At 36.4% G+C, this 16363-nt stretch overlaps 1 protein-coding gene and 1 long non-coding RNA gene across 11 annotated transcripts in view; one reads left to right on the top strand and one right to left on the bottom strand.

Moving 5' to 3' along the window:
• The window catches only part of LOC105377276 (uncharacterized), an 87048-nt gene that overhangs the window by 45727 nt on the left and 24958 nt on the right, over positions 1-16363 (top strand). The window lies entirely within an intron of this gene.
• On the bottom strand, positions 2826-11145 carry EPGN (epithelial mitogen). 9 transcript variants are annotated; one of them, NR_073114.2, is made up of 6 exons: positions 11039-11145; positions 10433-10522; positions 7310-7430; positions 6571-6597; positions 5289-5486; positions 2826-5035 (listed from the first exon to the last, which is right to left on the bottom strand). NR_073114.2 is itself a non-coding variant. In NM_001270989.2 (5 exons), the coding sequence occupies exons 1-5, from the start codon at positions 11079-11081 to the stop codon at positions 4978-4980; spliced, it is 465 nt and encodes a 154-aa protein (NP_001257918.1). In that variant the 5' UTR covers positions 11082-11145; the 3' UTR covers positions 2826-4977. The 9 variants fall into 9 exon arrangements, 7 of the variants coding, with proteins under 7 accessions (NP_001257918.1, NP_001257919.1, XP_011530119.1 ...); NM_001270989.2 differs by lacking the exon at positions 5289-5486 and having other exon boundaries at positions 6445-6597; NM_001270990.2 differs by lacking the exon at positions 5289-5486.

Genomic DNA, 16363 nt, shown 5'->3' with positions numbered 1-16363 from the left:
TCCATGACAAATATTATCATTTTGTGGCCAGGTGTGGTGGCTCACGCCAGTAATCCAGCACTTTGGGAGGCTGAGACGGGCGGATCACAAGGTCAAGAGATTGAGACCATCCTGGCCAACATGGTGAAACCCCGTCTCTACTAAAAATACAAAAATTAGCTGGGCGTGGTGGCGGGCGCCTGTAGTCCCAGCTGCTTGGGAGGCTGAGGCAGAAGAATTGCTTGAACCTGGGAGGTCGAGGTTGCAGTGAGCTGAGATCACACCACTGCACTCCAGCCTGGCGACAGAGCGAGACTCCATCTCAAAAAAAAAATTATTATTTTCTATATTTTAAGAAAATAACTTTTTTCAATTGCATACTAATTACTTGGGCATACTTTTAAGTTCACTAAGAAATTATCCCTCAACAGTAATATTTTTCATAAAATATTGGGAAGCATTATTATATAGAGCTTAGATGTTAGATGAAGAACTCTGACATCAGATGCATCTGGTTCAGGCTGAGGCCCTGTGACCTTGAACAAGTGATTCCCTTCTCTAAGCCTCAATTACACACAAGCATGGATTAACTAAAATAATGCAATTGATGCTTTCAAACATTGCAAGTGCTCATAAATGGTTACTGTATTACATTATTGCTTTAACTTGATTTGTTAAGGAACTTAATATTGAATTAATTTTTAGTGTGATTTTAAAGATCTAGAGATGCCATTTTTTTCTTTTCAGAAAGATGTGAATCCTAATTAATACCATCTTAGGAGATCGAGACTATCCTGGCCAACGTGGTGAAACCCCGTCTCTACTAAAAATACAAAAATTAGCTGGGTGTGGTGGCACACACCTGTAGTCCCAGCTACTCAAGAGGCTGAGTCAGAAGAATCACTTGAACCAGGGAGGCGGGGGTTGCAGTGAGCTGAAATTGTGCTACTGCACTTCAGCCTGGTGACAGAGTGAGACTCCATCTCAAAAAAAAAAAAAACAAAAAAAAAGAAGAATACCCTCTTAAAGATCAGTAATACTGCTAGTTTGACAGCTGGTTGACTGTAGACTTAACCAAATTTTAATCTAGATGACGTATGCCCCAATAATATCTGAGACATAAAAAATGACAAAGAAAGGCCATGAGGTGGTTAGATAAGACCTGACTGAACAATTCAGTTCTTCTTGTTAACACATAATCACATTTCTAATCTTTATGAGATGTTTCTTTGGAAGCTGTGGGTATTGCCGACAATCTGGAACATCCATCATGTTTAGTTTTGGAAGAGAAGTAAAATATAATACTATTTTACTTGTATTCACATGGATATTCTCAAGGGGCCTAGACTTAAAATTCTTAGAAAATTAACTGCTTAAGCTCTTATACTCTGAGCTGGGCACTGATTGATTAAATAATTAATAAAAATTGAATACTTAATAAAAATGCAGAATTTAGAAAAGACATTTCTGAATGTGCTACTGAATAGGTCTGAGCCAAAGATTTGGACAAAAATGTGGGCTCACCCAGATTAGCAGTGCTAGACACTGGCAAATTAAGTTTCAACATTTATAGTTCATCTTGGCAGCTACTCATGTCCTGATGTCATGCAGCCATGATGTAAGCGAGAAAGAGTGATGTTTTGCAATAGACGGATTTTGGTAACCCTTCCCATGAGTGTAGGTAGTAGGATACCAATATTTATATCACTTCACAGAAAGCATGTTACATTTTGTAATGCAGAGACATTAAATGGCTTCCTCATGGTCCTCTGCATAGATGAATTGTCCTCATGTTTAACATCAAAAGCTTAAATTGCTGATGTTTGTTATTTTCTTATGACTTTTTTCTCAATTAGATATAATGAATGGAAATCTTGACATCACCAAAACGAACATGTTAAAATTAAAGGATTAGATTTGTATTGTGCCAGGAAAGACTAAAAGATGAACTATGTTATAATTTCATCCTTTTCAAACTTTATGAAAACACAACTATACAAAAAGCTACCTTGGGGAAAGAGAATATAATGACAAGCATTTTTAATTACTTTTTTTGCAAATTTACTGGCTCCAGGATGGCTGACATTATATTCTGTGCCCCATCCTCATTATACTCTGAAATGCTAAATAATAAAGCACTCATGAATACTGATGACTTAAGGATGTGTTCTCAAATAATTGGAGGATAGACGAAGGGAAGTGACAAAATGGGGAATGAAAGAAATTGATGAACCTCTTGGCTGGTGTAATGTAGTCAAAGATGCCAGAAACATGTTGGCATTTGTTTCCTAAATAATCCACCCTCAATTAATGACACAACTGATTGATAGCTGAAAGTGTAGTTCTGAAGCACAAACTTTACTGAAAGGCTCTTTTTAGGGTCTTCTTACATATAGAAAAAAATGAAACAATTTCCAAATATATTTATGCATTTTCCTCTTAAGTTCTGCTTAGGTACTTAAACATTGACAGATGTGGTTCTAGCTCCATAGGAATGTCAGAGATTCCTTCCTACAAAATTAATGGTAGGAACTACAAGGATCACAAGATTGTTTTATATGAAATATCATAAACAGATGGTTATCATAAGCCACACTCTGAGTTTCCATACAATCTCACAGGGTAGATTTTATGTTGTTAATAAGTACTATTCTATAGGTGAACAAAGTTGAATCTCATGAGTATTTGTTTTGGTTAACATTTTGGTTTTGCAACCTGAGGATTTTAATTCTTTTCCTGATGTTCTAATTTTAATTATATTGTGTTTATAATTTATAAGTATTTATAGACAACAAATATTTATAATCTTTAAGGTTATCACCCCTCCATACTCCAGCATTAATTTCTTTTTCCTTTTATCAGGAGGCAATTCTTAATTAATTAAAGGCAATCCTGTATTGTTTCTTCCCATACTCTCCCCAGCTCTTTTACATCTTTTTGAAATACTCAGGAAGAGAAACGCTTTCTAGGTGTGGTCTGTCACTGGAGTCACTGGGAGGAAACTTCAACTCTCCACTCCTTGGTATGATGTAAGCTTTGCATACTGTGTGAAAACATTCAGAAAGTGCTGACTGCAATCCGTTTGCATTAAATTCCTTCTGAAGGAAAAACAAAACAAGTTAAATACCTTCTACTCAAAGGAAAGCAGAATTTTAAGTTTGGTTTAGGAATGAATGAAAAGTTATAATTTAATGTAAATGAAAGGCTTGTTGCTGGACTGCCATTGCAAGAATAGTCAAGTTTGATCCTCTTTTCACCACTCATGATCAAAATTGTCTTGCTTATCTACATCACAAATGGAAAAAAAAAGAGTCCATTGTTTTAGATTGAATCTTAAAAAATGATAGCTATTATTACTCTTTAATATTTTATATTTCCTTCAAAAATAAATTATTATTTTACAAACTAAACCCTAAAACATACCTAAGATAATATCGAGTAGTGTGTTTCAGGGTTAGAGGTGGGGTTGAGGTCCATCTCAACATGCTGATGTTGAGGATCTCACCGGCAATGCAGATTTGGAAAAACATTTCCTTATTCCACTGTCAAGTTTTAGAGCTAAGAGGGCCTTGTAGAAGATGAAACAAAAGCACAAATAAATTAAGCGACCTGCATATGACTGTTTGAATTAAGTGGCAGAAATATAACTAAGAGGAAGGATACTGATTTTTTTTTTTTTTTTTGAGATGGAGTTTCGCTCTTGTCACCCAGGTTGGAGTGCAGGGTTGCCATCTCGGCTCACTACAACCTCTGCCTCCTGGGTTCAAGTGATTGTCCTGTGTCAGCCTCTGGAGTAGCTGGGATTACAGGCATGCACCACCACGCCCAGCTAATTTTTGTATTTTTAGTAGAGACAGGGTTTCACCATGTTGGCCAGGCTGGTCTCAAACTCCTGACCTCAGGTGCTCCATCCGCCTCGGCCTCCCAAAGTGCTAGGATTACAGGCGTGAACCACCACGCCTGGCCTGGATACTGATTATTATTATTTTGACTGTTACTCCATTTTTTTTCTCTCCCTCTATGTGCAAATCTGTTAACAAGTGTTCAAAAATGATAAAGAAAGTTTCCACATGCTGTGGTCTGGTGAAAAAATTCTATGTCCTGTTTTTCAGTTTCTATTTTAGGGCCAATTGTAGACTTTTATTCAGTAGGAGACTTCCAGGATTTCGGTCCAAATGAATGGTCACCAGGTAATTCCACTGATAACTGGAAGAAGTGATGAACAAAAGCATTAGGGACCAATGAGTCCAACACAAAGTTTTATAATCCATGTAGAAATGGAAATGCTTTGCCTACTCCAGACTTGATATCCAGATAGCTTCAGTCTTCAGAAACTCTTTAGTTTATTCCATTATTTCACATAGAAAGGCTGTATGTTGTTACAAGCTGTGTATGATTTGTATTTGCCTTGGACATTCCCTTCTGTTTTCAGTGGCTTAGATTTAAGACACATGTTTGGTTCACTGGAGGTACCTTAACACTGATTTCATTCTAAAAGCTGACATCACATTCTTTCAGACACCATGAAAACAACAAGTTTGGGATAAGGTTCATTGAGCAAATAGACTTAGAGAGGCCCATCTAGGTGGTAAAAAACGCTGGGTAGTAAGAACATGAAGAACCCAAGCGAGGCATTGCTTTGGCTTGCTGCAAGGTTGATTATTATTCCCATGAAAATTCACATCTGACATAGCCAGGAGCATGAAACTCAGTCTTTCTGTAGTGAGAATAATAACCACACAACAACAAAAAACCCAGAGTGAAACTATGAATTTGACTTGTGTCACTGAGGCTTGTTCACTTGGCTTCCATCACTCCTTAAGGATGGCAAAGTCTAAAGGCCAACGCTGAATTTTATCTTCTCATTTCATTGTGATCCCAACTTTCATTATTTTCGAGTCTAGTCAGCTTGACAAGTTTTGTTGTTTCATCTGAAAACTTTAATTTTGGGCTCACTGATCTCTACAGATGCCTTGATGAAAATTCTTCACAAAGGCCTCACAGTGGTCGTCTTTCTCCAGAACAGACATTGTAAGGCGATTTCAATTTTAGACACCTGAAACAGAGCATTGGTTTCCATATGAATTTGACTGTGGTTCATATAGGTCATTGAAGCTTACATAAATGCACCCTGCAGCAGTTGCTCTTGGTGTCCCACCCAGATCCCCTTTACCCATTGGTCAACCCATCCCTCAGCAGCTGTGGGCATTAACAGGCTCATGGCAGCAGTCTTCTCCCAAGGTCTGCCCATAGCCAACTGAGTGCCCTGCCAGGAGATTGCTGGGAGATTACAAGCCCCTGTTCCTTACCCCACATGAATCCATGATTGAATAATATGGGATATTGAAATCCAGATGCCTCATCTCCTTGGGAGAGGTCTACACTGCTATTCACATTCTAGATCTCCCTGTGGAATCAGGCTGGGGCTACACTTCAGTTAAAGCCACATCTTTGCTTAGCTTCTTCTTGTGCTCCATCTGCTTTCCTTACTTTATTACAGGTTTCACCTAAAATAAAGGTAGAGTACTCCCTCAACTAATCACATGCACAGCAATCTCTATCTGAAGGCTCCGCTTCTAGGAAATCTGACCTCAGAGAGCCACCTTAGTAATGTGGAAAAGTCTTACCTCCTCCTCCTCCCCCTTATTATTATTATATTTTTGGTCTCTTAGGCAAATCTACAACTGATATAATATAGATTTGATTCTCTCTAAGATGCATTTGTTAAGCAAAACAAACTTTTCTAATTTTGAACAGGCAGTTTTGGTCATTTAGAAATGACAACTTATTAGAGTACAGCAAGGGAAATAATGTATTTATATTTTTTGTTAGGGTATCTCACTTTATTTCTTGACTTTATCCTAGTTACATGGATTTAAGGAAAAATTACTCATGTGGAAAAAACAAGAAATAAGAATGAATATGTAAATAATTACAATTATTTGTGATTATCTTCTTAGGTTTTTAGCAGGAGACAGTATCTTCTGAAGATACCCCCAGTTGACGTCTGGGAAGAAATGGCCAATGTTTGTCATACATTTTTATTCAGTTTTTACTTGTTTCTTGATTTTATTTCACTCAACAAATATTTACTCAGTGTGTGTTGTGTGCTAGGCATAGTGTAAGTCACTGAATATACAATTTTGAACAAGACATACTTAGTCCCTACTTTCTTGGGGCCTGCTGTCCTCCTCATTTATAATTTTGATATGGGCAGACAGAGATAGGTTGAAGGGAGACTGTACGTTTGAACTCTCCTATTACAACTGAAGGCAAATTTTTACCACTCGTCTGGGTTTATGAGAAAAGGCATGAAAAATATTACATAGAAACTTTTTGCCAGATTACAGCTCTTTTTTAATTAAAAAAATTTTACATGTCAGTGCCTGACACATTATAGGGCCTGAATAACTATTTGTCAAACGATTGCATATGAAGTGACTTCATATTTTGTCTTTTTCATACCTCTTTCTTATATAGCAGTAAAAAATAACAAGAAAACCACTTAATAGTAATCCAACACCAATCCCAATTGCAATGTATTTTTCATAAGAATCCACAGCATATGAAGTTAAAGTCAAGTGCTCACACCTTTCTCCAGTATAACCAGTAAAACACCTTTAAAAAAAGAAAAAAAGTTTAATTTTAAAACCTACGGTGGTAGAAATACAAATAACCTGTTTCAATAAATTTAAAAAAATAAATGGAAATAAGGAATTTAAATTAAAGAGGCAAATACCAAATGAAAGCCAATCTGTTACGGGCAATGAAGCAGCTATGAATTTTCCAATAATCATTAAGGCCCCATATTTTCCCTTCATTAGTAGAGGGAAAAGGTAGTATGCTTGCATAATTTACTCTAGAAAAATCATTAGCCTATTCTTCCATAGGCGAATACTGAGCAAATCATGATCATAAAAATAGTATCTTAGTTGCTCTAGAACTTCATATTCCTGTAATGTTTTTGCCTTAGTTTGCTTCATTTCATCCTGAAAACAACCCCAAAACTTAAAATCACCTTTGCATGTTGTTAAAAATGCAGATTCTGATTCAATAGTTCTGGGGTAGAGCATAGATCCTGCATTTCTAACAAGCACCCAGGTTCAAGAGATGCTGCTAATCTGGGAACCATGTTTTTAATTAATGAGAATTAAATAGTTTGGACAAAAGACTCCTTAGATATTCAAATATGTAGAGGCCTGTCAAGTCATGTTCAGATTATGCACCCTTTTAAACTAAAGAGAGAAAAGTGTGGAAATGTACTATATGAAACAACAGAGACATAAACTCATCTCCTGTCTCTAGGACTTGGATATTTCTTTGCATTTACCTGCAGATGGCTTTCTCTAGCTCATGGTGGAATGCACAAGCACCGTTGATGCAGTAACTGTTATGATCTTCCAGGCAAAGGTGTGAGAACTTCAAGGCTATGGGTCCTTCTATGTTGTCAGCTAGGAAAAGGAGATACAATGTTAGCAAATGAAATGTGTCTTACTTTTATGGTAAATTTTTAATACATATGTAAATAAATTTTTAATTTTAAGGATATTTGGGGGTGGTGCTGTGTCCTTTAAACTATTGATTCTCTTAGCAGGTTGTATTCACAAGGGCTGGGTTAATATCATCTAGACATATGACATATTATTAATTAATTAGGGGATGGAGGTGGATTGATGATTGTTTCACTTTTTAGAAGCAATGCAGTAAGACAGAAAAGGCAACAAATTCACCAAAAGGTGGCAGCATTGGTTCTAGTCTTAGCAGGTTATTTTGAGCGATGCTTCCCAGACTTGTGTCTGAATACTAATTAACATAGAAGATCTCACATAATATTTCGATTTTCTTCCTTTACACCTGAGAAGTCAGCACTTGCGAAGATTTGAATTTACACTTGTGAGATAATAAACAAGATTCTTATTCCTGATTCTCTCTGATGTACAAAAGACAGACCTATGCCATTCTTGGTGTTTATGCAGTGGGAGTGACCCTTAGGTAAAATTGCCTAATTGAGTCCTTTGGGGCATACTTTATTGATTCTTAAATGTTTCTCAAACAGAATTAATGGGATTTTACTTGTCATTTTTATAAATAAACATATTTCCTCATCATTATGATAAAGGTATACCATATTTGCCTTGCTAAGATTAAGAGAATCTTACTTGTTTGTAGGGAAAAAACAGTTTTAAAAGGCATTCTTTTTTATATTAAAAATGCTAAATCTTTAGATGTTAAGATTACAAACAAAATACTATGTTGTATTACTTTATTTTGGTGAGAACACACATTATCTTCTAATTCACGTTCATTTTGTTGAATAGGATGAATATAATTTATCATTTTAATAATTAATTCTCAGGCAGTGAGAATTTTCCATTATAAACTGTGCTGGGTGCTTTCTATTTCAAGACTAAACAAGTTCGATTAACTAAGCCTGAAACTAGATTTGGTAGAAAAATGTGAGAATTAAGCCATTTCTAAAGAAAAGTTATACCAGAGAGACTCATCTTTCCCCTAAGAATGAGAATGATCATAACTTTATAAAAATTTTTCTAAGATACTAGATTGATATTTTTAAGTTAGATAAAAAACAAAAGGAAAAATTAAAGTTCTCCATCAAGAAAGCAAAGGAAAAATACAGAAATGATATACAGTTGTACCTCTGTATTCATAGGTTCCACATCTGTGGATTCAACCAACCTCATAGGGAAAATATTTGAAAAAAAAGCATCTGTACATAACATGTACTGACTTTTCTTGTCATTATTCCCTAAACAATGCAGTATAACAACTATTTGCATAGCGTTTACAATGTTTTAGGCATAACTAATCAAGGGATGATTTAAAGTACATGGGTGTGTGTCTATAGGTTATATGCAAATATTTCACTATTTTATATAAGGGATTTGAGCATCTGTGGATTTTGGTACCCTCTGGGCAGGAGGAGGAGGTCTTGGAACCAATGTTCAACCAATAACGGAGGATGACTGTATTGGATTCCTTTTTACCATTATTATTACTTGTAACTCAAAATATTTTATTTGCTGTTCACCATTAAGGAAGAAAAAAAAATTTAGTACTGAGCATGCTATTACGAAGTCAGTCATTGAGAGAAAACTATGCTTCTTTAATTTTCTGCAGTATATTATCTTCTTTTTTTTTTTTTTTTTTTTTTTTGAGACGGACTCTCACTCTGTCACCCCGGCTGGAGTGCAATGGCCCCATCTCAGCTCACTGCAGCCTCCACCTCCTGGGTTCAAGCAATTCTCCTTCATCAGCCTCCTGAGTAGCTGGGATTACAGGCATGCGCCACCACGTCCAGCTAATTTTTGTATTTTTAGTAGAGACAGGGTTTCACCATGTTGCCCAGGCTGGTCTCAAACTCCTGACCTCAGGTGATCTGCCCGCCTTGGCCTCCTAAAGTGCTGGGATTACAGGCACGAGCCACTGTGCCAGGCCAGTATAATATAGTACTGAATATAATAATTATAATAAGGTGTTTCCTCTTTGTTTGAAGGCTTAGAAGACAAATAGTTGGCTAAAAGTTATTCTATAACCCACATTGATTTCGTTTTGCAAATCAACAGATATTCAAAAAATCAAATGGGTAAAATATTTCGAGACAATCATTTAAAATTTTAAATTATTGGTGACATGAAGAACACTGAGATATGACAATCTTCCTTTATTTGCCTGACTCTGAGTGCAAGACATTGTTTCCTCTGTCCTAAATCAAATTGCCAGCCTTCACATAGCAATCAGGATGCGATTTGCAGAAGAATCATAACCACTCAGTCACAGGTCTTGGTAAGCAACAAGCTTTCCAAGTTTCACCTCTAAGAGTTTAAACAGATTAGAGAAAGAACGCTGATGCTCAAGAGCATCCAGAAGCCACTGTGATAATAATTAAGTGCAAAAGAAAATATATCATTACCATCAACAACAAAAATTGGGTACAAGTGGTTAGGAAATACAGCATATGCTAAAATAACAACAAAAACTCCAAAGCAAACAAGAAAAAAAGGTCATTCCAAAGATGAGGGAAAGTGCTGTTCATCTTGTAGCCATAATGTCTTTGGCATCAAAGCTTATAATCACAGATCAAAATATAATGCTGCTCATCAAGAATGCCAAAATGGGGACAAACTGTCTCTGTACACACAGGGGTTATTGGGAACCAAGCAGAAATGAAGCAGAAAATGTGGCCTGTTTCACATTCAAGACAGTAACTGAAGACAGCTTTTGTCTCATTTGCTTAACTTCCTCCTTTTAAAAAGGCAATTATTTCCTGGCACATTTATCTGTCACTTCAATTTAACAGCATCCTGCTAAAAGAGCTGATTATCTAATAATAAAATATATATTAAAAATGGCCAATATTGCTTTTATCACAATCCAAATTTCTCTCCCAAGTTTTAGAAAAGTCTTGTGAAATATGAAAATGGGAAGAAAATACCTTCTGTTTTGTTAACTGTCCAGTTACCTTGCTGGGCTGTGATTGGAGGTGTTACAGTCACGGCTGCCTCTTCGGTCAGTGCTGTCATTGCTGTATTAAGGGGGCAAAAGCATCTTTAACAGAGAGCCTCCTTCTATGTACAAGCAACAGATGGAAAGTATTCTTATTCTGTTTATTCCAATTTCTATTTTTTTAATTTATTACAGTTGAAATCCATAACGTGACTAGGGCAACATACTTACAGTTTCTCATCCATTCCATTGACTATATTAGGATTAAAGCAAATAAAAACCCAATATTTAAGACCATTGATACATTTACATATTAATTAAAAAATAAGAACCCTATAGTATAGTAGCTAAATGTATCAATTACTCTTCAATTGTATAAAGCAAACATTCTGGAGGTCTCAAAAAAGGTGTCAAAATATATTAGGAAAGGAACATACAGGACATAAGAAACTAAATTAATCCACAGATTCATTACTCTGATCTTTGTCATAAAGAACAACTGTTAGAAGCCAACTTCTCTCTAATGCAGAGAAAATAAATTCTATTCACATTTTACACTGATATAAAGTTAACAAAACAAAAGGAAATTACCTACCGTTGAATAAAAGATAGACTGATATTGGAACTCCCAAAGCCATTTCCTGTAGTTGCTTAACTTTCTTTCTCTTATCCTTCTAGACTGACGGGTGGAAGGTTTTTATTGAGCTCTCTGAGTCTTTGTTGCATTTATATTTCATGAAGCGTCATCTGGCAGTTCTTACCAATCAAAAAAATATGTACTTCTGGCAGCAGCAGAAAGCCTCTGGGCGCTCACGCACTTGGTTAGGATACCTGTATTATCTAGCAATGTGATCAAGTTTTCTTTTGAAACACTGGTTTCCTGTTACCTGTGGGCATAATCATGTATGTAAAAGTACTTAAAACAACAAGAACAAAATGTAATTTCAGGAAAGGCTCCCATTGGTGTGAAGAGAACTATACCAGCTCAAACTATGCTAGAAACCTATACGGGAGTTCAACAAACATAACTGCAAATTAGGAAGCAGCATAACCTGTTTCTAAAAGAAATATACCTGAAACTATAGTTGGTTATACCACCTTTTATTACAGACTATAAGTTCCATTTCAAATCAAGATAATTTGTTAATTTAGTTGCAGAGAACAGTTAAATTTGTGAAAACACAGAGGTTTCATATTCCATTTTAGTGTTTGTTTCTTAGTGTTACTATGACAAGTGCTGTAAATAAAATTATTTTTAATAGTATAATATTCACCTTTCTGTCATCCTGCTATTTAACATTTTTCTGAGTAAATGAAATGGGCTGCCATATTCCAGGAACAACAATGCTTAAATCTGCATCCCAATGATTAAGCTACAGAGAACCAGTAAAGTACCAACATAATGATAATAGCAATAATAATAATATTAAAATTCTCCATTAAGAGAAAATTAAGATGACATTTAGTTTGGATACATCCAATGAATAGAAAGTTTCTAAGTTAATACAACATTCAAATTATTTCTCAAGTTCATCTAGTTGTAATTATTAAAGTGGCACTTTAAAGGCCAAAATATGTCATTACAGCTACTATATTTTACAACTACAGAAATTTTCACTTGCCCCAAATTAATATAAATGATTTATAAATATATCTTCCTGAGGCATTGAGTCTTTCTGTCTGGAATTTCAATTCCTTGTATTTTCTTGAAACTTGAAACCTCAAAACCCTAAAAACATATTCAAGTCAAGATAGGTTATCTTTTGCATCATGTCCACTCAGCAAATTAGATTTACCAGAAAGGAGCCCTTTCACTATTCAAATATAAATGTGGTGTTAGAAATCACACAAGAACAAGCTTGTTGAACTCATTATAACTTGGGCAATCACTTGCCACAGGAGTCATCATTTTAAAGTTAAAATAATATAATAGTACTTGGCTCGCTTTAAATGTGTCTACATTTTGCATTTCTACTTTTGTAGGTTTTTAAAAAACTGTTGATTACTAAGTCGATTTCTAGATAATATATTTCCCAGGCAAATAACATTTGAATTATAAATTGAACAATCGTCTTTGCACCATTGCTGAGAATTTAAAAAGAAATCATTTACAAAAGATTAAATAAACCATCACAATTCTTTTTGTAGTTTCTGGAGGGAGATGTTAGGACTCATATTAAATACTTTCTTTTTTTTTTTTTTTGAGATGTTTTCTCACTCTGTCACTCAGGCTGGAGTGCAGTGGTGCGATCTCAGCTCACTGCAAGCTCCTCCTCCTGAGTTCATGCCATTCTCCTGCCTCAGCCTCCCGAGTAGCTGGGACTGCAGGTGCCTGCCACTAGGCGCTGCTAAGTTTTTGTATTTTTAGTAGAGACGGGGTTTCACTGTGTTAGCCAGGATGGTCTCGATCTCCTGACCTCATGATCCACCCACCTTGGCCTCCCAAAGTGCTGGGATTAAATAGTTTATTTCTAAGACTGAGACATCAAAGTACAAAGATTATCTTTGTAAAAACTCTTAACTGTAGCTAGTGCAGTCCTTTGCACTTTACAGGTTTCCCTACACATCTCAATTCTTTCTTCAGTAACCCTGGCCCAAACAAATCCAGTGCCTAACATCTAGTAAATACTCAATGAATCTGTCTTCAGAGAATAAGGAAATAAATAGGCATTATTTCTATTCTCACATGACAAATGACAAATTGAGGCCCAAAAGAATTAAGTGACTTGCCAAAGGACATGCCTAGAGTCAGCACTTCAATCCTGGCCAGGTGCAGTGGCTCATACCTGTAATCTCAGCACTTTCAGAGGCTGAGGGAGGAGGATTGCTTGAACCCAGGAGTTTGAGACCAGCCTGGGCAACAGAGCAAGACCCCGACTCTACAAAAAATAAATTAGCTGGGCATGAGTTACTTGAGAGGCAGAGGTAGGAGGATCACTTGAGCCTGGGAGGTCAAGGCTGCAATGAGCCATGATTACACCATTGCACCCCAGCCTGGGCTACAGACCCTGTCTCAAACAAACAAAACAAAACAAAACGAACAAAAAAAAGGACTTCAATTCTATATTTACAGATTCTAAATCGTATGCTCTTTCCATTTACCTAGCTGTGTTCTCTTGTAGTAGTTGTTGTACTGATCTCAAAAGAATTCCCTCAATTATCTCCTAAAATCAAGCTTTAAATAAATTACCTTTATTAGAAAAAAAACTAAATATTTAATTAACTGTGATTTTCACTCACATCTGTGCTGAGAGATGGAACTGAAGCCTCTCTGGTAAACTGGGCCACTTAATATAGAAACCCATCTTCTGCTTTAGCTTATGGAGTATACCAGAAAGTAACTTTAAGTCATCAAACATGTTGCCTTTCCTCTGGGGCCCATACTCATGGCTCCCACTTAACAATCTTTACAGGAAAGTCCACTCCCTTCACATCTTCAATCCTCTCACCCAAAAGTCCTTTCTCCAAATCCTAAAGAATGGGGGGCAGATGGATACTGTAAGGTGGTTTTTCTGATATCTTTATTCATTCTTAATATGCATTAAAGCAGGTTAGGGTGAGAAAGGAGAAGGAAATGAGAGGCTAAGAGCTCCACTACTACTTTTCTCTCATGCCATGTTTCCAGTCTTTTCAATTTACTTATCTCTCTTCTTCTAGAAGTTTATGCTAGAAGAGAGAATCTCTGAAAGTTTATTCTTCCCTCCCCTTTCTATCTTTTTTTCCTGGCTGTTTCACTAACTTAACCAAAATTTATTACTGGTCATTGGCAGAGAATGGTGATCAGTTCATTGATTCTCTCTCTAAGTTTATTCTATCACTTTCATGGATTCAGTTGCATTCATTCATAAAATATTGAATGACTACTATATCCATGGCACTAGGCTGGGTGAGATGATATTTGTAAGACAAATAGAGAAATCATGCATGGATTCTGACTTCAAGGAACTAAAGGGTTCTAGGCAAAGTACATACATAACTGCAGTACTGGGTAGGGAGTGACAACTGCCATGAATGTGTGCATAAAAGCTCTGAGAGCTAAGGGCTGACATTTTTCATGGACAAGTTTCATTTGAAGTGAATCTTAAATAGCAAGTAGGATTTAGACACCTAGTAATAAGAGAAAGGACTTCGGGGTGAGGGCAGGATCTGAGGGAAGGCAGAGTGGAGTAGTAAAAGGAGTGGCTTCTGACTCACATCATCCCAACAGACTTTGTTGTGAATTCAGATTCCACCTTTTCTATCTATTTGGCCTTGGCTGAGGCTTTTTAATAACCAGGAGGGTCAATAATTTTCTCATCTATCAAGTGGAGATTGTCAATAATGAGCAAAGACAAAAAAAAAAGGCACTTTGGGAGGCCAAGTCAGAAGAATTGCTTGATCCCAGGAGTTTGAGACCAGTTTAAGCAATATAGTGAGACCCTTCTCTACAAAAAATGAAAAACTTAGCTGGGCATGGTGGCACTCGCCTGCGGTCCCAGCTACTCCAGAGGCTGAGGTGGGAGGATTGCTTGAGCCTTGGAGGTAGAGGCTGCAGTGAGCAGTGACCACACCACTGTACTCCAGCCTGGGAAACAGAGTGAGACCCTGTCTCAAAAAAAGAAAGAAAGAAAAGAACAAAAGAGGAAAGTATTTAGCACATGCTACGTGCTCAGTTAAGGATAGTTGTTACTATTGAACAAGTGTGGAAAGACACAGAGTGTGTATAATGGTTACCAAGGCCAGGAATTTAGTGTGTCCGTATATGCTGACGAGTCCTAAATTCTTATCAGTAACTATGAATTCTTATCCTCTTCCTAGACTGATATTACTTCAGAATTCTTATCTATGTATTATGTCATCACCTCAAACTTAACATATTTTAATCTGAACATATTATCTCTACTCCAAAGTCAGCTCCCTTTTACAATTTCCTCATGTTAGTCAATGATAACATCTTCTGACCTCTAACTACAATTCTCGTAACTTGCTAAATACTGCCAAATTCTGATTTATCCACTCCTCTAATTTATTTTTGCATACTTATCCAGCTGTACCACTTTCCAAAACAAACCTTTCATTTTTGTCTAATTGCAACTCTTGCTTTCATACATATATGGTAAGCTCATAATCATTTCTGTAACTTTATTATGTTCTTTAGGGCGCTCTTTACAGATACTTTACAGATACAGATATGGTAGGAGAAGAAAACCATCTCTATGCTCCTCCACAAGGCCAACATGTCTATCTTTTAAGGACTTCAAATACTTGTAAAGTTATGGTTCCAATACATTGACTTTACCTCTGTAATATGTTGACTCTTTCACCGAATCTTAGTCAGGCTCCTCTGAGCTCTCTCCCTGATCAGGTCTTGATCTAGACCCATCGAGCCCAGTTTTAGCAAAGAATCCTGTTAAGTCAGTTTATGGAGGGTCCCTCACCATTGCTATTTTATCTAGTTTCTAATCCTCTTCCTTTGATATCTAAGTCTTTGGCCTGCTGTTATCAAGCATCCTGACAAGCCAGTTTAACAAGAATCCCCCTACCCTGAATATCTAAAGGTCCTCTTAGTAATTTTTCATCCACCAACCCCCTAGCTCTGCTCATTGGCTATAAATCTCTAGCTGTCTATGTTGTATTCATAGTTAGTTCAATCTCCTTCATCCACTGCAATAGTCTTAACATCTTCTTGACTGTTTTAAACAAGTGTCAGAGTAATTTTTCTTCTACAGCATTTTAATTAGTTTATGGGAAGTCTAAATTCTGAATGTTATTCCAAAGGTACCCTTCCTGCACCTCTGTTGAGGTAGAGCTCAAAATTACAGTCTTCACATTTTCCACATACATGTATTTTAGTCACTTTATTTGTTTTGGGAGTTAGGAACCCTTAAAAATTAAAGAGGCCCTTTCTGAATGTTTGCTTGGAAACTTTAAATTTAAACTT

This window comes from Homo sapiens, chromosome 4 (assembly GCF_000001405.40).
Source record: "Homo sapiens chromosome 4, GRCh38.p14 Primary Assembly".
Classification (NCBI taxonomy): Eukaryota; Metazoa; Chordata; class Mammalia; order Primates; family Hominidae; genus Homo; species Homo sapiens.
Note: the sequence above shows the minus strand (reverse complement) of the source record. Positions and strands in the feature narration are given on the sequence as shown.

Excerpts from the sequence above, each read along its gene's own strand:
- EPGN (NM_001270989.2), bottom strand. The coding sequence starts at position 11,081 with ATGGCTTTGGGAGTTCCAATATCAGTCTATCTTTTATTCAACG. Across the intron at positions 7,431-10,432 it reads GACAGTTAACAAAACAGAAG|CTGACAACATAGAAGGACCC; the intron begins GTATTTTCTTCC and ends TCCTTTTCCTAG. Across the intron at positions 6,598-7,309 it reads CTAGAGAAAGCCATCTGCAG|GTGTTTTACTGGTTATACTG; the intron begins GTAAATGCAAAG and ends CTTTTTTTAAAG.